Source organism: Homo sapiens, chromosome 9 (assembly GCF_000001405.40).
Source record: "Homo sapiens chromosome 9, GRCh38.p14 Primary Assembly".
Classification (NCBI taxonomy): Eukaryota; Metazoa; Chordata; class Mammalia; order Primates; family Hominidae; genus Homo; species Homo sapiens.
The window spans coordinates 34825552-34850765 of NC_000009.12; the positions used below are offsets into that span (position 1 = coordinate 34825552).

General features: G+C 43.2%; 1 protein-coding gene and 1 pseudogene across 7 annotated transcripts in view; one reads left to right on the forward strand and one right to left on the reverse strand.

Annotated features, from left to right (window-relative positions):
• PHF24 (PHD finger protein 24) overlaps positions 1–25214 on the forward strand; it is a 316938-nt gene that overhangs the window by 159945 nt on the left and 131779 nt on the right. The window contains exons 1-2 of one of the 6 annotated variants that reach the window (XM_017014554.2): positions 12785–13171; positions 13972–14105. The exons of 2 other annotated variants lie outside the window; for them this stretch is intronic. The gene's annotated coding sequence lies outside the window, so the exon portion shown is untranslated. 3 more of the 6 variants (XM_017014555.2, XM_017014553.3, XM_017014556.2) reach the window with 3 other exon arrangements.
• On the reverse strand, positions 4716–13035 carry SPATA31F2P (SPATA31 subfamily F member 2, pseudogene; annotated as a pseudogene). Its single transcript, NR_024481.1, has 4 exons — positions 12799–13035; positions 12103–12148; positions 11515–11575; positions 4716–10501 (listed from the first exon to the last, which is right to left on the reverse strand). The product of NR_024481.1 is annotated as an SPATA31 subfamily F member 2, pseudogene (transcript).

Below are 25214 nucleotides of genomic sequence, written 5' to 3' on the forward strand. Positions count from 1 at the left end.
TGTCTTTGTGTCTGTGCATTTTTGACTGTTTGCTCGAGCATGTCTGATGCAGGGTGTTCATGAGTCCTTGAACACCCAAGGACTCATGAACACCCAAATCCAAGTTCATGAGTCCAAGAACACCCAAGTCATGTCCAAGGAAGACATAAGTGTGTTTTTCTTGACATGTTTGTGCTTACTCTGAACTCTTAGGTTGGTGCAAAAGTAATTGTGGTTTTTGCCATTATGGCAAAACCATATGTGTGTAATTCTGCCCTGGCCCCTCACCGTATCTTCCCCCTCTGCCCTGATACACCCTAGCTGCTAGCACAATTTACTGCAAGGAGGGCTTCCCTTCCCACCGTCTGGATTCCCATGGGTCAGTCTGCCTGCCCAGGGACCCGCCCCTGTGGCCTTTGTAGTAGGCCTGACCTTGGAATTGATACACTCTGGAAATCCCCTAGTATGCTACTTGCCTGGCTGTGGACCAGGCAAGAACACGAGAGAAGTTTATAGAGGAGGAGAGGGACAAGGCAGGAAAGGGGGGTAGTTGGCAGCACCCACCCCTCCTTCTGGAAACTGGATCTCACTGGCCTCTTCCCAGGCCCCCCTCTCCCTCCCCATGCTCTCCCAGGGTCCTGGCCTCACTGTCTCCGGGCATGAGAATGCACAGACCTCTGTAAGCCTGGTCAGCCCTGTGAGGCATCTGGTCCTTTGTGTCCCTAAGCACTTTACATGCCTGGATTGTGCTTATCTGTCATATTGCCACCTGAGCTCAAGGAAGTCCTCCCTTCTCCTCTGTCCCTGCAGTGGACACAGAGGCCATTCTGGCCCTTCCATCTATGGCAGGCCTGGCCTAGACCATGGGCTCCAGAGGCCAGGTAGAGCATTCGGCCCTGGTTGTCTGGTTAAGCAGCAGAGGCCCAGCCACCTCCCACATGGTGCAGGAAGCAGTGTCTCCATGGAGTCTATTCCTGTGTTCATCCTGTGTCCCTTGCCCTCCCTGCCTGGGCTGCAGTGAGCAGGTATAGAAGTGAAGCAGTCACAGTCCCTGCCCTCAACAACTCAGCGTTGAACACAAGTGATGTTGTGGAGAAGCCACCCTCCTCCCACTGCTGGTGGTCGGTTTCCTGAAATTCCCTCCAGCCAATTCCGAAGTGCCCTTCTGGAAAGCCCAAGAGAAGAGCTCTAGAAGGTTGGGGCCATTCACCATGACATGTTGTTACCTGAGTGTGCCAGAGGTGAACCCAAAGATCCCAAGCAAGCACTGATGTATTCCTAGCATCTACCCCCAAACCTGAAGTAGTAAATTCTTGAGTTTATACCCTTCATGTGACTTTTGCTTCTTGCCTCTCTTCACCCTGGGGAAGATAGAACATGGATTTATGCAGGGATTATGGGATGAGCAAGGCTTCATCCACCATCAGCATTCCACATAAGTCATAGGCTATGACCCCTATTTCTCTTAGCTCTTGACTTTGCCAAGAACTCAGAATCCTGAAGCTATCAGTTTCAGCTCATTTCTCTGCCCCTGGGACTTCTGTCAGCAGCATGAGCCCATGCTGGCCTCAAGCAGGTAGGAGCCTGCAGGGAACCATGGGAAGGACCTGCTCCACCCTAAACCAGGATGTGTGCATGCTAACCCCTGGCTCCCTACCTGATGCTGCTGTGACCCTCCTGAGTCAATTCCCTTCATTCTGGGCTTCCCTCTATTCTCCTAGCTGTGTGGCTGCCTGCCCCACTCCCACCAGGCAGGGAGGATGTGCCTGTCACAAGACCTCCTTTGATCTTTGGGGATGCTTTAGAAAAACACCTGTTGAGTGTTGGTTCAGCAGGCCTGAACCTTGTGCTTCTCCATCCTGGAGACCATCCATGGGGTGGGCCCCCAACCCTTAGGCACAGAATCAGCATTCAGAGCAGGGACATATCCATGTTTCTTCCCATCCTGCCTCTTCTGTATCCAAGCAGTGGACACATTGTGCTAAATGCTGGGGTCCCATCAGAGGAAGCAAGTACTGCCACCTCCTCCTCATGATGGGATGGTGAGTGATCCTGGGTTTCCTTAGGAACCAGGGGCATCCCACTGTCCCTCAAAACATGTCATAAAGAAGTCACAGTACTTCTTGGCCTTTCTGTAGCTCTTGGCTCCTCTGTGGTAGGTCAGAAGGGGAATGCAGAGGTGCCATCTCCTGAGGGATAATAGCTGTCCAAAATCGATGTCCCTCCCATCTTCTCAGGGCAGCCTATTTATCTTCCTGCTTCCCTGTCCTCTCCTCCCACCCATATAACCTCCTTGGTCCCTCATCTCACTGAGCACTGGGATGCCACCCTTGCCCTATTTCTCTATCTCCAGCCCCATGCTGTTGCTCAGGTTCCATGCATTTAGAGCTTTTTCTGTGATCTCTCCTGCTGATACAGTCTTCCAAGAGCACCTGCTGCACAGATATCAGCAGCAACTTTTAACCACCTTTCCCTGCCCACCTACACACTCACACTGCCACCAACTGCTTGGGCCCTAATAAAAAGTTTCCGTAGTAACTTCCAGAATCCCTCTCTACCTCCTGCTTTCTAGCTTTGCCTCTGCATACCATTCCCCCTTCCCACAGCCACGGCCCCTCCCAGCTCCCCACTTGTCCCTCTGGGTCTCTGCCCACACTCTCTTATATGTAAAAGAAACCTTTTTCTTCCCTTATCCACAAAGTCCCCTCTCATTAACGATGCCTTCTATCTACCACCAGTGTCTGTACTTTTAGCCAAAGCCAGCCCCTTGACTTGGGAATTCACTTCTATTCTGTGTCCTCTACAACAGGGCATTGCTCCAGTAGTTCTTCCCTCTTTTCCTCATCAGTTTATCCCTCTCAACTGAATCTTTCCCGTCAACATCCGGCGTGCTATGTATCTCATATTTTTCAAAAACCCTCTCTGAATCCCATGTTCTCTTTCTGCTATTTCCTCATTTTTCTGCACCTCTCTGGAACAAACCTCCTTGAATACGTGATTATACTTGCTATCACCAATTGCTCTCCTTCTGTTGTATCTTGAATCCACTCCCATCACACCTTCATCACTCATCTAAATCTGTTTTTCTTAATGTCACAGAGGATCTCTATGTTTTTAAATTGAATGCCATTCATCTTGCTTGACTAGTTGGCAACTGGTTATGCAGTTTATCATTTTCTCTTTGAAATACTTTCCTCTCTTTGCTTTCAGTACACCACACTCTTCTGTTTTTCTTCCTACCTCACTGGCTACTGCTTCTTTGTTCCTCTATTTACTGGCTCCTCCTTTTATTCCCAGTTAACTTTAGAGTGTCCTAGCCCAGTCTTTAGATCTCTTCATTTACACTTAGTTCCATGGTGATGTTATCCAGTTGCATGGTTTTATCTATATCTATATCTATATCTATATCTATATCTATGTCTGTCTGTCATCTGCAACCAGGACCCTCCCTGAGGACTATCAGGCTTCTGTGTTGAAGATAGACTGTTGGGGATATGGTGTCAGGATAAAATGGGGGACGTTATGATGCTACTGCAGTAATGGTAGCAGTAGAGAGAGTGAGAAGTGGTCATATTCTGGATGGATTTTTGAAGTAAAGACAACAGGATTTACTGATGGAACGGATGTGGACTGTTAGGAAAAAAAATTCAAGAATGACACTATTGTTTTTGCCCTGAATTACTGGAAAGATGGAATTGCCTTTAACTGATGTGAGAAATACCATGATTGGAGCAGATTTGGTATGTGTAAATGGATGATGGTGGTGGGTGGGCAGGGAATCGAGAGTTCATTTTTGTATAGGTTGAGATGAATATTTGATATCCAAATATATATGTTGATTAGGCAATTTGAACCTATGAGACTATCTACCTCATGAGATGACAAGCTCCCCTGGGGCAAGGCTTGTGTCTTGTTTGTTATGTTTGGCATAGTACTTGGCACATAGTAAGTATTCCAATATTTTAATTATTGAATGTAAGATGTTTTTCAAAGTAATTTTTATTGTGACCCTTCTGGGATTCTCCTGACCAGCTAATTACTTCCTCCTGTGGCACAACCTCACACCTTATAGCACTCATCACAAAGATGTAACGCTTTCTCTGCCTCCTCAGCGCAGACTTTGGATTCAACTAATATAAGGTATTACTATGCATTAGCTACTTTCTTAGGCCCTGGGGTTATGAGGCATATTTTAACCATTCAGGCAAGTTAAGGATGAGAAACTGAACTACAAGGAGAGTCAGTAAAAATAGAGGAAAGGGGGCTAACTTGAGAGTCATCAAGATTAGAACCCAGTGACTGTCTTGATGTATGAACTGAGAAAAAAAGTGAATGTATAGTGATAACGTTCCCTGACTTTGGAAATCAGGTTGGTGAGGTGGAGGTTTTGAATTAATTTGCATTGTCTCTGTAACAAGATAGAGTTTTGTGTCAGTTGTTGAATATACAGTTTGGAGCTCAGTGGAAAGACTGGGTCAGAAATGTGGCTTTGAGAATCATCAGTACATTAACAGTAATTGAGGTTTGGGGTATGTATGTACAATTATCCCATTTTGCCAGATCTAGAAACTGGGGCTCAGAAATGTTAAGTAACTTGTCAAATCTCTGAGCTAGAATTCTAAACTTCATTTTTCCCCACATTCCATTCTTGTGACTTTGACTTTAAAATCTGCATTCTCCCCACAGGGTCAGGCATTTGTCCTAAAAGTTACAAAAACACTTGCTCAAGAATTTTGTAATATTTTCTTTGTGCTGTTTTATTGCCCTTTGTTCATGTTTATCATTTTGCCTTAAAATCATTCTTTGGTCACTTCAGCCAGAAATTTCCAGAGGGAAGGGGGTGACCCAAATCTTTTACTCATATTTAACCTATTGAGTGGAGCAAGCACAACCTTGAGCTATGCTGTTCTGCCATGGCTCCTTAAGAGGTCAGGCGTTCCAGGGAGACTAGTGCCTGCCTTAACCCAAGTAACTGGAGAAGGAAGGACAAGGTCCCCTTAGGTCTCCTTAGAGGTTCGAAGGAATATGAGTATGATGGCCATTATTAAGAGGCTTGATGTGTGGCTAGGATTACCAAAGCTGCCTTTGGTGGTGGATCACTCACCCAGTGATGGTGCTGGGATTGGGGTGGGAGGCTCGACCGAAAAGGTAGCAGGAAAGAACTCTAGGAACATCTTGGTATGGCAAGCTACACTGAGAGACCTCCCAAAGCAGGTCTGTAGGAGGGACTTTGTTTAATCTGTGTGTGAGGGAGAATGTGAATAGGATATCACTGAGAGGGGCTTACATTTCTTAGCAGCTCCTTGTAGATCTCAGCTTGCCACTCAGCCTCCCTCTTGGACTTCATTTCATTCCAAAGGTTTCAGAGAATTCCACATAGTATTTCAATTAATAATAACTATGTATTTCCCTGAATAGCAAAATATTGGACATTCCCAGAGAGAGGCAAAAGGGCCAGAGTCCCACCACCTCAGTTATGAGCAGCTGATCTCATTGTTAGACTCATGTGTGGCATTAAATTGTAGATTTGTGGTCACTTTCTGTGTTAATAGGACACTTTCCAAAAGCCTTGTCTTCTTTTGACAGCCAAGGTGATTGGCTTCAGTGTTTTCAGAAATGCAGTGGGACACAATGAAGAGATGTAGAAGGGTGACAGGAACCAAGGGCTGGAGCTGCCAGGCTTCTGTGGTGCCGTCCTTGGCAGGAAAAAGTGTAGGAGTCATCCCCTGAGGAAAAGGCACCAGGTAGATCCTGGGAGGGGATTCAGCTGACTGGGTGCCCACCATTAGTTACTGTGAAGATAAATTTAAGGAGTAAGGATCATGGCAAGGAGAGTGGTGGAGAAGGGCTCCAGGCACAGGTGGTATAGAAACAGTAGGCCTGGGTACAAGCTGCTGGCAGTAACTTGACAGGCTCACATATGTTTAGAAAACCTCTTATATTTGTGGTTCTTTCCCAGAAACTTCAGTGCTCAACACCCTGCCCTTCATCACACTAAGGGCAAGCAGAACTAAGCTCAGTGATCCCTCCCAAAGCACTTGGGCCTTGGGTTTGCCTCCTGGCTCTAGGCTCATTTTAGCACCAAGCAAACTGTCTTTTCTCTATTCTCATGTCCTGGTCAGGCATGAGAATCAACTTTTGTCACAGGTACTCTGACCTCCAACTACGTGACCCTGCTCCCTACCAATCCCTGGGCCTGTGGGACAGGCCCTTCTCCATTTTCTACTGTCATCTCATTCCAGGAGGCTTTCATTTCATGCAACTGAGAGGCAGTGGAGGCAGTAAACAGGCAGCAGGATTACAGCAGGCTCCAAGATGGATTTTCTAGAAAGATCTTCCCAGTATAAACAGGGAGAAGTCAGAGGAGAGTCTATCATCTGGATCTGACATCTGTCTTATTAGATATTGTGTTTTGATAAACACAAAAGCACCTCCTCAAGGAGGGAATACTGTGGCACTCCTCTAAAATGAACCATCTGAATTGTGGGTTAAAGCTCCTTCCCTAGACAGGAAGGTCTTTTTAGCCTCCCTCACACCTTCCCTTAACACAATACAGTGGAGATAAGGAGCAGATGGGCAACGTATTGCTGAAACATATAGAGTGCATTTCTAGTGGCACCCTGCCCCACCAGCATATTTATGGAAATGAAAATACTGGTCCTCTGGAGGGCTGCAGCAGTTGGGGAGCCTATAAACTCTTTTTCATGGCTCTGTGTGTTCTCCTTGAGCAGACCAATGTTTCTATCTGAACTGAGGGTTAGGAGCTAGGGTGGGTGCCCTGGTTGGGGGGCACAAGCCACTCAAGGACAGTGACGAGGACAGTGGTGGGGGTGGCCTGGGGTTGAGGCAGAGCCAGGTTGTCTGGAGTGTAACCGAAGCTTATTGTCTAGGGACTGGGGACCATCCAAGAAAGCTGGGCCCATCAGCTTCTGAGCACGATGAGATTGGGCCTTGGAGCACCCTGTCGGCTTCTCTGTCTTACTTCTCCCCACAGGGCTCTTGGCTGGAGCCAGGCTCTTTGCAACATTTTCTTTTCTGGTTTTGGCCACCTTCACAGTGGCAGAGAACATGGAATCCTTGTGCCCTTTGCCTTTTGTCTTGGGGTTAATACACTCCAGAAAACATTTAATTTTATTTCTGAAGCTAGACTCTGTAAGGCTGGGCTTCTTTTGAGTATGGGCTGGCATCACCAGCCCATGTAAAACTTGGCATTGCAAAGTTTGGCCCTGCAAAGGCTTAGCCTGAGTTGGTTGGCTCAGGAAAGGCTGACCCTGTGAAGCTGGGGCACCACAGTCTGGGTATTCTCAGGAATTGTTGCTGGTTCAAGGATGACAGTTAGCTTGGTTTGACTGTCTTGCAGGTCCTTCTCAGACTCTTTCTCCCCAGGGACTCGTGGAGGTAGCTGTGGGAGCTTAAACTGAGGGTGATGCTGGGGGCTGTGTTGACAGGGATCAGCAAGATGAAAGCTACGGCTCCATCGCCAGGACCCTCGGGGTGTCTTGTTTGGAAGCATCCCTGCTGGCCTCTGGTCTTCAGCAGGGCGTCTCTCTTCTCTGGTTGAGGAGCGCCCAAACCCCGCATCCCCTTCTCTGTAGTCCCTGGCTGCTTTGGTTTCCTCTGGGTCCTCTCTGTTTCCTGCTAGCATGGGGACATGGGCTGGGTCCTTGCTCTTGCTAGGGCTTTGAGGCTCAGGGCCACAGGGTTCCTCCAGGCTGGGGTTGTTCACACTGGCCTCTACCTGAACACAAGGCATGTGGGCCTCTGTCATGTCCCCACTGGGTTGTGAGATCTTGGAGACCGAGTGGGCAGAACCCTGGGGTACTGCTTTGGAATTGGATTGCTTTTGGTTCTGCTGCACTGCCTTCAAGTCATTGGCCAGCTGTTCTTTAAGGTGAACCCCTTCTGGATTAGGGGCAGGAAGAGTGTCTGGTGGGATGGGCAGTTCCTGGAGCAATGTCTCCCCTTGGTGGTTTAGACTTTCAAGAGACTTCTGTGTGGATATGTTCTCTGGTGCTGCAGCAGTTTGTTCCCTGGACTTCCTTGCCCTAATGGGAATTCCCCATTGTATCTCTAGGACCTTTTTTCTCAGGTGGAAGTTTAGTTTGGTCAAGATATGTGTCTGGAGTGAGTGGGGGCTAGTAGGATGCGTCTGGCTTTCTAGAGGCAGCGTCTCCATTGTTCCTTTTACTGGCACTGCAGGCTGGAACTCTTTTGCAACGTCTGTACAACTCTCATTGTTGCCTTGAGGGCATGGCCCAAGACTTATACACTGTTCTTCAAATGAAACCATCTAAATCAGAGGCTCTGCTGGGATTTCCACGGGACTAGGCTCCATCTCTGTGATGACAGATTGGCTAGTGACTGCCGGGGCCAGGGCCCTGGGGAGCGCCACATAATACAGAGCAGGCAGCCCCGACAGGAAGGCCAGATGCTTGTGCCGTAAAGTTGTCTCCAGTTTCTCAATGGCTTCCACAGACAAGACTCGGAGCAGCTTAGGGTGTTCAGTGACAGTACCTGGTAAGGCCTGTTGCTGCTGATCAAGGGCCGTTGGCATCCAGGGCATAACTTTGTGATGTAGGTCTGGGTCACTTGCTGTCTGCAGTACCAGGAACTGGCTTTCTGGAATGCAGGGAAAAGGAGCCACTGCCAGGACCCCAGAAATTCTGCAGTCCCAGGACCTGTGTACACAGGCGGGGATCTTGCCCTGGTGGATTTGTCCACATTTGGAGTCGATGTGGCTCTGCAGTATTGCCTTGACCTGAGTTAACAAGTGTGGCCTGGGGATGGACACTGGGGCCGCAATGGGTGACAGCACATCGCAAGCCCCGTTGGCCTCTAGGGCTACAGGCTGGGGGATGCTCACGTTGGCTAGGGCTGTGCTGCTGCTGGACACAGTCTGCTGGTCAGTGGAGGTAAGGAGCAACTGGATGGACTGCTGGATCTTCTGAGGCAGGCCCCAGCGATGGCGAATCGACTGTTTCTGGATGTGGAATTCCAGCAGCTTCCGGGCATGCTCCGGGAAGAAGAGTAGTTCCCTGGTGAGCACTGAGATGGACTTCCCTGTCTGGGAAGCTGTCGTGGTCTCAGGAGACTGAGCTTTGCCACAGGGCTCATGCTGCATGAGGCACTGGGTGTGCTGAGACCTCTGGAGGGCAGCTGGCCAGCCCCACTGAAGCTGGAGTTGCCTCTGTAGCAGGTGCCACTCCAAGGCTTCATACTCAGCCAGAGTCAGAAATGGGACATTGATCTGAGCTCGTTGATGGTCAGATGGAGACACCCAATTTGGCGAAAGTGGGGAAGAGGGTGGGGCTGACTGGGGTGAAGTTTTAGGGAGCAGTTGGGGGAAGGAGAGATCATTGAAGAGAAAAGGATCCTTCAAGGGGGGCTTGGGCACATTTTCAATCTTGGGAAGGCCTTGAGATCCCATGAAAGTGGCAACCAGGGACTCACTGTGCAGAGAAGGGAGCCCACAGAATAGCTGGCTGTATTTCTGCTGGAGATCACTCCCTGAGTCATTATCTTGTCCCCCAGACTGTGGATGGGGGCCACTTAGGGCTTTAAGGGCTGGAGAGGGCAAGGCTAGAGCCATAGGGTTTGGAGTTTGCTGACAGTGGTGTCTTTGTTCTGGGTTCATTGTGGACCATTCAGAAACCCAGAAGGTCTGGATGGGCTGGCCAGCCACACATGAACACCAGGTCTGGAGGGAAATGGTCTCAGATCTGTGAAGAGAGACCTGAGAAGTATTATTCAGGTTGAAAGAAACTGGCTGGTCATTTCCAGGTTGGTAATACAATGGTGGGTTTGGCATAAGCTGCCTCAGGGACTCCTCCACACGTCTTGGGAGCCCCCACCTCTGGAAATGCATCCATTTTTTAACATGTACCTCAAGAAGCCTCAGCACTTCAGGACTGAGAAATGGCAGGTGGGCAGGGAGGACCATATGCAAGGCCATCGGATGCATCCGGTTCAGGGTTTCTGGGTTCAGGGACAGCAAGGAGACCTGGAAATTCAAGTGATGCTGGCCTTGGTTTCCCTGGACAAGGCTGGGGTTGCTCTGCTCATCTCCTCCTGGTTCAGTGGAGCCCTTGGCTTGTCAAGCCTTGAAGAAGCTATGGTGTTTGGGCCCCGGAGCACAGCTGGCACTTGAAATTCCGGCCCTAGCTGGAGGTGATCAGCCCAGTAATCTTGTATGCCATCTGCATACGTTGACTGGGCAGCTGACTGGGTTAAAGATTTCTGATCTGTTAATTGTGACAGTGTTGGGTTTATAGATGCCAGTGAAAGCTCTCTGATATTTCTGGAATGGAGCTCTATACTCTGCTCAAAGGATACACTAGACAGAGACAAGATCTCTAGGCAAGAGGAGACCTGTGATGGACTCCTCGACAAAGTTGGGGAGATCTAGTCATTCTCATCCGCCAGCAACTGCTGAATCTCCAGAGCCATAGCATTGCAAATTTGGCAACAGGGATCTGTACATAGGATTCGCCGCACACTTCCCTCTGGGGGAAGCCAGCCCTGGCTGGAAAGAGAAACATGGCAAACATTAATGATGGAGTAGCATCTACCTTCTTGGAAGAGTGTGGGCTAGCGTTGGCATTGCCCTTCCCTAGTCCTGCAAGTCTAGAAGCCTACACCCCCTTCATGTCTACTCCTCTACTTTTCTTCTTAAGAAAATGGCATTTGGTAAGGTATGGTGGGCTGGGGGTTAGGACTTGTTGGACAAGGCCTCAGACAACCCACAGAAGGGCATGGCCCTCAGAGAAGACTGGGAGCTGAGTTCTGTGTTGGCCTTGTTGAGAAGCTGAACTAGGAGAAAGGAACCAAGCATGTGGAAGAGTCAGTTGGTTAGCTGATGGGGCATAACCAGGAATATCACAAGGTAGAACTGTCTTGCAGTCTCATTTGAGGCTAAGAAACCCGAAGTCTAGTTTTCAGTACATCCAAACTGTGGAAAATGAGGTTTATGTGGTACTTATGCATTCTGGGGGCTATGAGATATCCCTGATGATGTACCCAACATCTCCTGGGAATCAATCTTTTTCTCTAGAAATCTTAAGAGGATAAGATGATAGGCTCCTGTCTTAGGGCTGTGCCAGGAACTGGACTCCTTGAATACAGAACTAAAGGAAGTATTATCAGCAGGGTTCATCTTGGTCAGCTCAGTCTGCCCATGTAAGGATGTAGCTGTAAAGAGAATGTGACATGGGTGACTTTCTCATGCAAAATCCATTCTCTTGACTGGATAACATATCTCAGAGCTGAGTAGAACCCCATATAATGTCTTTTATGAATAATGTACTAGTAAAATCCTGAATTTCAGAACTACTGTGACCCTGCCCCAAATCAGTATTGGGTGACTCTTTCCTCCTGAGATAATTATGCCTTTGCAACCCTCTCAACTAGTGAACCAGCCTCCACTGTGTATGTCTCCCTCCCAGCCATTTTCCATCTCCTCAGTCCTGCCCCAGGCTAAATGAAAAAATCACCACAGGCCAGGCTGGTGTTTAGAGACTGCAAACAGCAATAGATCACCTTTTCATGACAGAGAACAGCTCTTGTGGCTTCTGATCTTCTTCCTGAGAAAGTCTCCTAGCTGAGGAACCAGAAGACAGTGTTATAGTAGACAGTGGCATGGTAGAGTTTTCAGAGTATCTGGAGGAGGTTGGAGGCCTTTGACTCTCAGCAAGAAGACACTGAGAACCCTAATTATAAATGCTTTAAGGCCTTTCTGTGCACAGTGTAATGAATCATGACTTGTTCTTCTGTGCCCATTCTTATTTGACTTTAACAACCATACTGTGAGTGAGAGGATCATCAGATGCCCATGTTATGGCAAACAAGACTGAGAGATGAAGTGACTTCCACAGGTTTTAAAACTAGCAAATGACACAGCTAAGGACATCTGCACTATTTCCTCAATTCTTTATTCCCATGGGAATAATGTAGAGAATTTTGGAACGTTTCCAAGGTAAGATTTCCCACCCATGGAAGTTTCAGTCTGGGGAACTGGAGTCTTCAGTGGCAGAGCACCTGGCTCTTGGCTCCAGGGGTCATAGAGGGACAGGATTCATAGGAAACACCCACAGTGGAAGGGAGTCAGAGGAGAGATTGGGACTTCACCTGTTGATGCTGCATCTCTAGCTCTTTGCCTGACTTTTTGGTGACGCTTAAAAGACAAAAACATTAGAATGTGAAGCTGGGACACCATTTTCTTTCTCATGTCCAAAATGAGACTTACATTTATTTTCCACTCCCTTTCTATATATCTATCTGTATTTTATACGCTTTCCTGGATTTTCTTTGCCTATTCCACCTTTTTACTCCATTTTCCTTCTCTGCTTATTTCGGATTCACTTGGAGCCTTTTCCAAATTCTATACCTTCCATCTGATTCCCAGATAAGTCCTGCTGGATGCTGAGGATGAAGCAAGAGAAAGGATAGTACAGATCAAAGAGTATGTGGTTCTAATACCTAAAGACTTCAGTTTATAAACACCTTAAAGGGCCACCAACCAAAAAAATCCCCCATATTGTGAGGTCTTTTGAGATCCAGTGAGATAGATCCCATATCATCTAGGTCTCTATTCAAGTCAAATGGAAAGCTTCTTGGCTTTTCAATTAGAGTATGGTTCAGGGAAGACCTGGTAAGGAATTACTTTTAGGCTCTGAGAAGGAAAAGACTATATAAAAGTAACTAAAGGTATGGCATAAAAATTGGGGGAGAGGGGAAGTGGGGTCAATAAGGAAGGACTCTGGAGCTTAAAAGCATATTATCTGAGGCTTAATTAGTTCAGTTGGAATCATAGTGTTGCCCTACCCAGCAGCAGCTCCTTTCAACTTCCAAGTTCAATTCATGGTGGCTCCTTTTCACTTGCCAGATAATTACAATAACGATGAAGATGGAGCCATAGGTGTATAAGGGATATCCAACATCCCACAGAACAAAAGTAGGGCTCAACATGGTCTAAACCTCATTAGCATGAGATCAGCCATCCCTCTATCTCGGCATTCAGGGTTCTGGTGCCTAATGACTCCCAGTGCTAGGCCTTGTCATATCCACCTCACAGAGGACGGAACTAGGCCACCAGACTGCATCACAAAGCCCTCCTGTTTCATAAGGTACATGTAGTAGGGAAGCTCATGTGGTGATTCAGTCTGTAGATGAGGGTGTTTTGAGCCTGGGACTGAAGGTGCCACAAGCAGTGTCTATTTCCTAGTCTGTCTTCACTTTCCACTCCCTATACCAGCCTGATGTCTCGGCTCTGTCCTTCACAACTGTATGGTCACCTGTCCTCAGAAAACTGAGTGCTTTGGCACAGGGGCACCTTATGAGAAGGGGTGGTTAGGCCGGAGGAACCTCCACTAACTCTCCCACTAGTTTTGGAAATATACCTGAGAAGCACACAAGAATTTAGGGAGGGCAGAGTCTGGTTATGGCTTGGAGATGGAGATCTTTGATGTTTCAGGCAATGGGTGATTGGTAACAGAGGTGCGGGAAGGGGATTATGGCTGATGTGGTAGGGTGATAGGGAGAGGCCAAGGTGGCCGTATCTATCCAGTCTGTGTGGCCTCAAGCTTGCAGATGGGTGGGGAGAGATTGTAAATGCTGCAATCTTTTTGAGGCACATTAATGTGGCTCACTTCTGGAATACTGTCCAAATCATGGTTTTCTAGAGCTGCCTCTGTCCTTCTTATAGCATTCTGCCTGTTCAGGGAGATGAATGCCTGTAGAGATGGATTAGTAGCCATTTCTGGCTTTGGGTCGCAAACTGGTTGCTGCTTGTGGTTGGATCTATTCATCTCTGGATGTATTCTGTTTGCCTGTAGGATTTTTATTTGTTTGCTTGAGTCGGATTCTGGAAACTTTTAAAGCAGAGCAGCTGTTTTCCACTTTTGCCTCAGGACTCATCACTCCTATACTCTGCCGATTAATTTATACATTTATGTTACCTGCTTAACCTCCATGAATATTGCAATACTTCCCTAACAGCCAATGATTTCTGAATATTCTTAGAAGGTGTTGCCCTGGTGAGAATGGTTATAGCCAAAAGCGGAGAAAAAAATTCTTGGGCTCGAAATCTTTGAACATTCATCCAGCATCCCATCCTTTACCTCACTGGCATGGTAAGTATATTCAGTATGCTCATCCCTAAGCTGGGTGATGTCAAGGGTACAAGGACTTTGAGTCATGTTGGCTTCCTCCTCTCAAGACACTTAAAAATCTAGTTTCGAAGACAAGACAAATTTACGTGAATCAAGAGCCAATGGCTTATTTCAAATAATTTGATGTATTACTGAGGTTCAGGTCTCAACTTTTCAAGAGAGAGAATGCATGGAGGGGATCAGTTTGGTCAGAGAGGGTTCCTGGGGAGATTAATTTTGGAGTTTTGTCTAAAAGTGCAGGTTATAGGGAAAAGGACTGTTCCAGGTGGCAGAGAAAATTCCTAACAAACGCAGAACCCCAAGGAATGTGCCACAGAGTTCATTTGATACTAAAAAATGCAGTCTATCTTTAGCAGAGGTGCAGATGAATGGATTGGAGAGCAATTGTGGGAAAGATTGGAGGAGCAGGGGTGAGGCCCTCCTTGATGGAGGGCCTTTGCATTTATTTTATTTTAATCACTTAGATTAATTGATTTTTTAAAGTAAGCATACATATAAATGGTATAAACTTCAAAAGGTAGAAGAAGATATAACATACTGTCTCCTCATCCTTGTCTCTCATCTCTCATTTTTATTCCCTCAGTCAATCACTTCTATCAGGTTCTTGTGTATCTTTCCAGACTAGTCTAGCATAAATTTAAAAAATGAATTTCAATGTTTTATTCACAAAGGGAAAGATAGTATAGATAGTATAGATACTTTTCTCTCTAATTTCCCTCCTTCTCCTCCTCCTCCTTCTTCTTCTCCTTCTCCTCCTCCTTGTTCTTCTTCTTCTCCTCCTCCTCCTTCTTCTTCCCCTCCCTCCCTTCCTTCCTTCCTCCTCCTCTTCCTCCTCTTCTCCTTCCTTCTTCTTCTTCTTCTTCTGACAAGGTCACCCAGGCTGGAGTGCAGTGACACAATCATAGCTCACTGCAGCCTCTAACTCCTGGGTTCAAGGGTTCCTCTTGCCTCAGCCTCCCAAGTCCCACCTGAGCCCCCCCAGATGCTAGGATTACAGTCTTATTTCATTTAATAAAATAAATATATCTTGAGCATATCATTTTCTTTAATGTCTTTAATATTTTCCTTGATATGGCTGAAACACAGTTCATCTTCCATGCCATATTCTTGAATAGTTCGTATAATTTTGCTCTAAAAATGCTGATGCAAACCTTATATAATATAAATCTTTGCATAAATATATAAGTATATATGTAGGAAAAATTCCTTCTAGTGAAATTGCTGGGTCAAAGGGTGTGTGCATTTTCAATGTTTATATTGCCTAATTGCCCTCCAATTGTAGAAATTCACACTTCTTTTTTTTATTTTATTTTTTATTTTTTGAGACAGAGTCTCGCTCTGTCCCCCAGGCTGGAGTGCAGTGGCGCGATCTCGGCTCACTGCAAGCTCCGCCTCCCGGGTTCATGCCATTCTCCTGCCTCAGCCTCCTGAGTAGCTGGGACTACAGGCGCCCGCCACCACACCCGGCTAATTTTTTGTATTTTTAGTAGAGACGGGATTTCACCGTGTTAGCCAGGATGGTCTCGATCTCCTGACCTTGTGATCCTCCCGTCTCGGCCTCCCAAAGTGCTGGGATTGCAGGCGTGAGCCACCGCGCCCAGCCAGAAATTCACACTTCTAAAAAATGTTTTAAGAGTGCCTCTTTTCCATATTGAATACGTCAGTTGTTTCCACCTTTTTGCTGTCGTGAATAATGTTCAAGTGAATGTTGGTTTACAAGTATCTGTTCAAATCCTTGTTTTCAGTCCTTTTGAGTATATACCACAGTTTCATTTTTGTTGCTTAAATTTTTCATTTGTCTAGAGTTTAGTAATTAAAAACACTTTTCTGAGGTATGATTAATGTACAATAAGCTACACATATTTAAAGTGAACAATTTAGGCTGGGCACAGTGGCTCACACCTATAATCCCAGCACTTTGGGAGGCCGAGGCAGGCAGATTACCTGAAGTCAGGGGTTTAAGACTAGCCTGTCAAACATGGTGAAACCCTGTCTCTACTAAAAATACAAAAATTAGCCAGGAGTGGTGGCAGCCGCCTGTAATCCCAGCTACTCCAGAGGCTGAGGCAGGAAAATCGCTTGAACCAGTTGGCGGAGGTTGCAGTGAGCCGAGATTGCACCACTGCTCTCCAACCTGGGCAACAAGAGTGAGACTCCGTCTCAAAAAACAAACAAAGAGTGAACAATTTGATAAATTTTCACATTTGTATATACTTGTGAAACCATTATCACAGTCAAGATTAACACATCCTCAAAACTTTATTTATACCGCTTTGTAATTGTTTTTCCCTACCCCTTTCATTTCCTCTCTCTTCCAAACCATTGATCTATTTTCCATCACTGTAGTTTAGTTTGCATTTTTCTAGAGTTTTATATAAACGTAATCATGCAGTATGTATACATTTATGTCTGGCTTCTTGCACTCAGCCCAATTATTTGAATATATTCATGTTGTTTTGTATATTATTAGTTCATTCCTTTTTATTGCAGAGTAGATTCCATTGTATGCATATATAACAATTTGTTTAACCATTCGGTAGTTGATAGACATTTGAGTTATTACCAGTTTGGGGCTACTAGAAATAATGCTGCTATGAACATTCATGTACCAGTCTTTATAAGGACATGTATTCCCATTTTTCTTGGGTAAATACCCAGGAGTAGAATGACTGAATCATATGATAGTTGTATGCTAGGGTTTGAATGTGTGTGTCCCTCCAAATTTCATAGATTGAAACCTAATTACCAAGGTGATGGTATTAGAAGTTGGAGCTTTTGGGGAGGTGATTAGGGCATAAAACCTCTGCCCTCATGAATGGGATTAATGACTTTATAAATAAGATGTGAAGGAGCTGTTTGCCCCTCCCACCATATGAAGACACAGCATTTGTCCCCTCTGGAGGATGCAGCAACCAGGTTCCATCTTGGAAGCAGAGACTGGGCCCTCATCAGACACAGGACCTGCCAGCACCTCGATCTTGTACATCCAGCCTCAAGAACTGTGAGAGATAAATTTCTGTTCTTTATAAGTTGCCCAATCTGTGGTATTTGTTATAGCAGCATGAATGATTAAAACTGTGTGTGTTTAATTTTTTTTAATTTCCAAACTGTTTTCCAAGATGGTTGTACTATTTCCATTCCTGCCAGCAGTGTATGAGAGTTTGTTTTCCTGTATCTTTGTCAACCCTTGGTACAATCCTTTTTAATTTTAGCCATTCTAATATATGTGTAATGGTATCACTTTGGGGTTTTAATCCGTGTTTCTCTAATTAATAATGATGTTGAGCATTTTTTCATGCACTCTGTGTCATCCATTTTTATGGTGAAGCTTTGTACAAACATTTTTCCTATTGTGTTAATTTTTAGAAACCAATTGAAAAGCAATTACCAAAAAGTGGTAAAGGACACATTACTTGTCTAGAAATCCATAAATGTTGGATTGTTTTCATCCTTATTAGTAAACTGATTCCAAAAGAATGAGACTAATTTTCTGATGGCTTTTAGGAGTCTGGCACCACATTATGAGCTCTAAAATATTAATGTAAAAATATTAGATTGCCAAACAACTTTGAACCTTATGGTTTGTTGCATGAAAACATTATTAATGTGGCTTATAAAATACTACTGTATGAACAATGCAAATCTTTTGGAAAGTGTGTATCTCACAAAAATAAAAATTGTAACAAGTTAAAAAAATATCAAGTGACCATATATGTATAGGCCTAGTTCTGAATGCTATTCTGTTCCATTGATCTATTTGTCTTTGTTAATGTCAGTGACATTATCTTGATTACTGTAGTTTTATACTAAGTCTTGAAGTCAGGTGGAATAAGTAATCTTTTTCAGAGCTATTTTGGCTATTATAGGTCATTAATTTTAGAATACGTTTTTCAATTTCTGTAGTGGGATTTTAATTGGGATTGGGTTGAATGTTGTTTTATTTGTCTATTGCTGCATAACAAATTACCACAAAATTTAGTGATTCAAAATAACATACATTTATTATTTCACCATGCTTGGCTAATTTTTTTTATTTAATTTTTTAATTTTTATTTTTTTAGAGACAGTATCTCACTACATTGCCCAGGCTGGTCTTTAACTCTTGGCCTCAAACAATCCTCCTGCCTCAGCCTCTGAAAATGTTGGGATTACAGGTGTGAACCACCATGTCAGACCAGTATCCGTTCTTAAATATTTGGTAGAATTCAGTAGTGAAGCTATCAGGTCCTGTACTTTTCTTTTTGTTGGGAGACTTTTTATTACTGTTTCAATCTCCATATTTATTGTTGATCTGTTCAGATTTTCTATTTCTTCATGATTCCTTCTTGGTAGATTGTATGTTCTAGGACTTTATCCATTTCTTCTAGGTTATTTAATTTGTTTGTGAATAATTGTTCCTGGTAGGCTCTTATGATCATTTGTATTTCTGTGGTATCAATTGTAATGTTTCCGCTTTCATTCTGAGTTTATTTATTTGAGTCTTCTCTCTTTTTTTCTTAATGTAACTAAAGATTTGTCAATTTTGTTTCTTTTCAAATAACCAACTCTTCCTTTTGTTCATATTTTTTGTTGTTTTTCTAGTGTCTATTTTATTTATTTAACCTCTAATCTTTATTATTTCTTTCCTTTCACTAACTTTGGGCTTAGTTTGTTCTTCTTTTTCTAGTTCCTTGAGGTGTAACATTAGGTTGCTTGAGATCTTTCTTCTTTTTTGATGTAGGCATTTATTGCTATAAACTTCCCTCTCAGAATTGTTTTTCCTGCATTTCATAAGTTTTGATATTGTGTTTCCTCTTTCATTTGCCTCAAGATATTTTCTAATTTCCCTTGTGATTTATTTGATCCATTGGTTATTCAGGAGCATGTTGTTTAATTTCCAGGTATTTGTGAATTTTTCCCAAATTCTTCCTGTTAACAAGTTCTAGTTTTATACCATTGAGGTTGGAAAAGATACTTGACATTATTTCAGTCTTCTTAAATTTGTTATTTCACTCTTCTTAAATGTGTTATTTCACTCTTCTTAAATTTGTTATTTGTGGCCTAACATATTATCTATATTGAATAATGTTCCACGTGTGCTTGAGAGAAATGTGCGTTCAGCTGCTGTTGAATGAAATGTTCTGTAAATGTCTGTTAGGTCCATTTGGTCCAAAGCATAGTTTAAGTCCAATGTTTCCTTATTGATTTTCTGTCTGGATGATCTTCCCAACTGCTGAAAGTGGGGTATGAAGTCCCCTACTGTTATTTTACTAGTCTTATTTTTCCCTTTAGACCTATTGATATTTGCTTTATATATTTAGGTGCTCCAATATTGGGTGCATATATGCTATATTTACAATGATTATATCCTCTTGATGAATTGACCTCTCCATCATTATATAATGACCTTCTTTGTCTTATTTTACAGTTCTTGACTTAAAGTCTATTTTATCTGAGTATAGCTACCCTTCCTCTCTTTTTGTTCTCATTTGTATGAAATCTCTTTTTCCATCCTTTCACTTTCAATTTCTATGTATCTGTAAAGGAAAAGTGATTCTCTTGCAGGCAGCATACAGTTGGGTCTTGTTTTTTTACTCCACTCTGCCACTTTATGTCTTTTCATTGGAGAATTTAATCCATTTACATTCAAGGTAATTATTGATAGGTAAGGACTTACTACTACCATTTTGCTAATTGTTTACTAGTTGTTTTATAGACCCTTTATTCCTTTTTCCCTCTCTTGTTGTCGTCTGTTGAGGTTAGATGATTTTCTCTAGTGGTATGCTTTAATTCTTACTCTTTATCTTTTGTGTATCTAGTCTAGTTTTTTTGCTTTGTGGTTAACATGAGGCTTACAAGAATATGTTATGATTACAACAGGTTACTTTAGCTGATAACAAGTTAACTTTTTTTTAAATTTTATTTTATTTTCTTATTATTATACTTTAAGTTTTAGGGTACATGTGCACAATGTGCAGGTTAGTTACATATGTATACATGTGCCATGCTGGTGTGCTGCACCCATTAACTCCTCATTTAGCATTAGGTATATCTCCTAAAGCGATCCCTCCCCCCTCCCCCCACCCCACAACAGTCCCCAGAGTGTGATGTTCCCCTTCCTGTGTCCATGTGTTCTCATTGTTCAGTTCCCACCTATGAGTGAGAATATGCGGTGTTTGGTTTTTTGTTCTTGCGATAGTTTACTGAGAATGATGATTTCCAGTTTCATCCATGTCCCTGCAAAGGACATGAACTCATCGTTTTTTATGGGTGCATAGTATTCCATGGTGTATATGTGCCACATTTTCTTAATCCAGTCTATCATTGTTGGACATATGGGTTGGTTCCAAGTCTTTGCTATTGTGAATAGTGCTGCAATAAACATACGTGTGCATGTGTCTTTATAGCAGCATGATTTATAGTCATTTGGGTATATACCCAGTAATGGGATGGCTGGGTCAAATGGTATTTCCAGTTCTAGATCCCTGAGGAATCGCCACACTGACTTCCACAATGGTTGAACTAGTTTACAATCCCACAAACAGTGTAAAAGTGTTCCTATTTCTCCACATCCTCTCCAGCACCTGTTTTTCCCGACTTTTTAATGATTGCCATTCTAACTGGTGTGAGATGGTATCTCATTGTGGTTTTGATTTGCATTTCTCTGATGGCCAGTGATGGTGAGCATTTTTTCATGTGTTTTTTGGCTGCATAAATGTCTTCTTTTGAGAAGTGTCTGTTCATGTCCTTTGCCCACTTTTTGATGGGGTTGTTTGTTTTTTTCTTGTAAATTTGTTTGAGTTCATTGTAGATGCTGGATATTAGCCCTTTGTCAGATGAGTAGGTTGCAAAAATTTTCTCCCATTTTGTAGGTTGCCTGTTCACTCTGATGGTAGTTTCTTTTGCTGTGCAGAAGCTCTTTAGTTTAATTAGATCCCATTTGTCAATTTTGGCTTTTGTTGCCTTTGCTTTTGATGTTTTAGACATGAAGTCCTTGCCCATGCCTATGTCCTGAATGGTAATGCCCAGGTTTTCTTCTAGGGTTTTTATGGTTTTAGGTCTAACATGTAAATCTTTAATCCATCTTGAATTAATTTTTGTATAAGGTGTAAGGAAGGGATCCAGTTTCAGCTTTCTACATATGGCTAGCCAGTTTTCCCAGCACCACTTATTAAATAGGGAATCCTTTCCCCATTGCTTGTTTTTCTCAGGTTTGTCAAAGATCAGATAGTTGTAGATATGCGGCATTATTTCTGAGGGCTCTGTTCTGTTCCATTGATCTATATCTCTGTTTTGGTACTAGTACCATGCTGTTTTGCCTACTGTAGCCTTGTAGTATAGTTTGAAGTCAGGTAGCGTGATGCCTCCAGCTTTGTTCTTTTGGCTTAGGATTGACTTGGTGATGTGGGCTCTTTTTTGGTTCCATATGAACTTTAAAGTAGTTTTTTCCAGTTCTGTGAAGAAAGTCATTGGTAGCTTGATGGGGATGGCATTGAATCTATGAATTACCTTGGGCAGTATGGCCATTTTCATGATATTGATTCTTCCTACCCATGAACATGGAATGTTCTTCCATTTGTTTGTATCCTCTTTTATTTCGTTGAGCAGTGGTTTGTAGTTCTCCTTGAAGAGGTCCTTCACATCCCTTGTAAGTTGGATTCCTAGGTATTTTATTCTCTTTGAAGCAGTTGTGAACAGGAGTTCACTCATGATTTGGCTCTCTGTTTGTCTGTTATTGGTGTATAAGAATGCTTGTGATTTTTGTACATTGATTTTGTATCCTGAGACTTTGCTGAAGTTGCTTATCAGCTTAAGGAGATTTTGGGCTGAGACAATGGGGTTTTCTAGATATACAATCATGTCATCTGCAAACAGGGACAATTGGACTTCCTCTTTTCCTAATTGAATACCCTTTATTTCCTTCTCCTGCCTAATTGCCCTGGCCAGAACTTCCAACACTATGTTGAATAGGAGTGGTGAGAGAGGGCATCCCTGTCTTGTGCCAGTTTTCAAAGGGAATGCTTCCAGTTTTTGCCCATTCAGTGTGATATTGGCTGTGGGTTTGTCATAGATAGCTCTTATTATTTTGAGATAAGTCCCATCAATACCTAATTTATTGAGAGTTTTTAGCATGAAGCGTTGTTGAATTTTGTCAAAGACCTTTTCTGCATCTATTGAGATAATCATGTGGTTTTGTCTTTGGTTCTGTTTATATGCTGGATTACATTTATTGATTTGGGTATATTGAACCACTCTTGCATCCCAGTGATGAAGCCCACTTGATCATGGTGGATAAGCTTTTTGATGTGCTGCTGGATTCGGTTTGCCAGTATTTTATTGAGGATTTTTGCATCAATGTTCATCAAGGATATTGATCTAAAATTCTCTTTTTTGGTTGTGTCTCTGCCCGGCTTTGGTATCAGGATGATGCTGGCCTCATAAAATGAGTTAGGGAGGATTCCCTCTTTTTCTATTGATTGGAATAGTTTCAGAAGGAATGGTACCAGTTCCTCCTTGTACCTCTGGTAGAATTCGGCTGTGAATCCATCTGGTCCTGGACTCTTTTGGGTTGGTAAGCTGTTGATTATTGCCACAATTTCAGAGCCTGTTATTGGTCTATTCAGAGAGTCAACTTCTTCCTGGTTTAGTCTTGGGAGGGTGTATGTGTCGAGGAATTTATCCATTTCTTCTAGATTTTCTAGTTTATTTGTGTAGAGGTGTTTGTAGTGTTCTCTGATGGTAGTTTGTATTTCTGTGGGATTGGTGGTGATATCCCCTTTATCATTTTTTATTGCGTCTATTTGATTCTTCTCTCTTTTCTTCTTTATTAGTTTTGCTAGCGATCTATCAATTTTGTTGATCCGTTCAAAAAACCACCTCCTGGATTCATTAATTTTTTGAAGGGTTTTTTGTGTCTCTATTTCCTTCAGTTCTGCTCTGATTTTAGTTATTTCTTGCCTTCTGCTAGCTTTTGAATGTGTTTGCTCTTGCTTTTCTAGTTCTTGTAATTGTGATATTAGGGTGTCCATTTTGGATCTTTCCTGCTTTCTCTTATGGGCATTTAGTGCTATAAATTTCCCTCTACACACTGCTTTGAATGTGTCCCAGAGATTCTGGTATGTTATGTCTTTGTTCTCGTTGGTTTCAAAGAACATTTTTATTTCTGCCTTCATTTCATTATGTACCCAGTAGTCGTTCAGGAGCAGGTTGTTCAGTTTCCATGTAGTTGAGCGGTTTTGAGTGAGTTTCTTAATTGTGAGTTCTAGTTTGATTGCACTGTGGTCTGAGAGACAGTTTGTTATAATTTCTGTTCTTTTACATGTGCTGAGGAGAGCTTTACTTCCAACTATGTGGTCAATTTTGGAATAGGTGCAGTGTGATGCTGAAAAAATTGTATATTCTGTTGATTTGGTGTGGAGAATTCTGTAGATGTCTATTAGGTCCGCTTGGTGCAGAGCTGAGTTCAATTCCTGGGTATCCTTGTTAACTTTCTGTCTCGTTGATCTGTCTAATGTTGACAGTGGGGTGTTAAAGTCTCCCATTATTATTGTGTGGGAGTCTAAGTCTCTTTGTAGGTCACTCAGGACTTGCTTTATGAATCTGGGTGCTCCTGTATTGGGTGCCTATATATTTAGGATAGTTAGCTCTTCTTGTTGAATTGATCCCTTTCCCATTATGTAATGGCCTTCTTTGTCTCTTTTGATCTTTGTTGGTTTAAAGTCTGTTTTATCAGAGACTAGGATTGCAACCCCTGCCTTTTTTTGTTTTCCATCTGCTTGGTAGATCTTCCTCCATCCTTTTATTTTGAGCCTATGTGTGTCTCTGCACGTGAGATGGGTTTCCTGAATACAGCACACTGATGGGTCTTGATTCTTTATCCAATTTGCCAGTCTGTGTCTTTTAATTGGAGCATTTAGTCCATTTACCTTTAAAGTTAATATTGTTATGTGTGAATTTGATCCTGTCATTATGATATTAGCTGGTTATTTTGCTCGTTAGTTGATGCAGTTTCTTCCTAGCCTCGATGGTCTTTACAATTTGGCATGATTTTGCAGTGGCTGGTTCCGGTTGTTCCTTTCCATGTTTAGTGCTTCCTTCAGGAGCTCTTTTAGGGCATGCCTGGTGGTGACAAAATCTCTCAGCATTTGCTTGTCTGTAAAGTATTTTATTTCTCCTTCACTTATGAAGCTTAGTTTGGCTGGATATGAAATTCTGGGTTGAAAATTCTTGTCTTTAAGAATGTTGAATATTGGCCCCCACTCTCTTCTGGCTTGTAGAGTTTCTGCTGAGAGATCCGCTGTTAGTCTGATGGGCTTCCCTTTGTGGGTAACCCGACCTTTGTCTCTGGCTGCCCTTAACATTTTTTCCTTCATTTCAACTTTGGTGAATCTGACAATTATATGTCTTGGAGTTGCTCTTCTCGAGGAGTATCTTTATCGCGTTCTCTGTATTTCCTGAATCTGAATGTTGGCCTGCCTTGCTAGATTGGGGAAGTTCTCCTGGATAATATCCTGCAGAGTGTTTTCCAACTTGGTTCCATTCTCCCTGTCACTTTCAGGTACACCAATCAGACGTAGATTTGGTCTTTTCACATAGTCCCATATTTCTTGGAGGCTTTGTTCATTTCTTTTTATTCTTTTTTCTCTAAACTTCCCTTCTCGCTTCATTTCATTCATTTCATCTTCCATCACTGATACCCTTTCTTCCAGTTGGTCTCATCGGCTTCTGAGGCTTCTGCATTCTTCACGTAGTTCTCGAGCCTTGGCTTTCAGCTCCATCAGCTCCTTTAAGCACTTCTCTGTATTGGTTATTCTAGTTATACATTTGTCTAAATTTTTTTCAAAGTTTTCAACTTCTTTGTCTTTGTTTTGAATTTCCTCCTGTAGCTCAGAGTAGTTTGATCATCTGAAGCCTTCTTCTCTCAACTCGTCGAAGTCATTCTCCATCCAGCTTTATTCCATTGCTGGTGAGGAGCTGCATTCCTTTGGAGGAGAGGTGCTCTGCTTTTTAGAGTTTCCAGTTTTTCTGCTCCGATTTTTCCCCATCTTTGTGGTTTTATCTACTTTTGGTCTTTGATGATGGTGATGGACA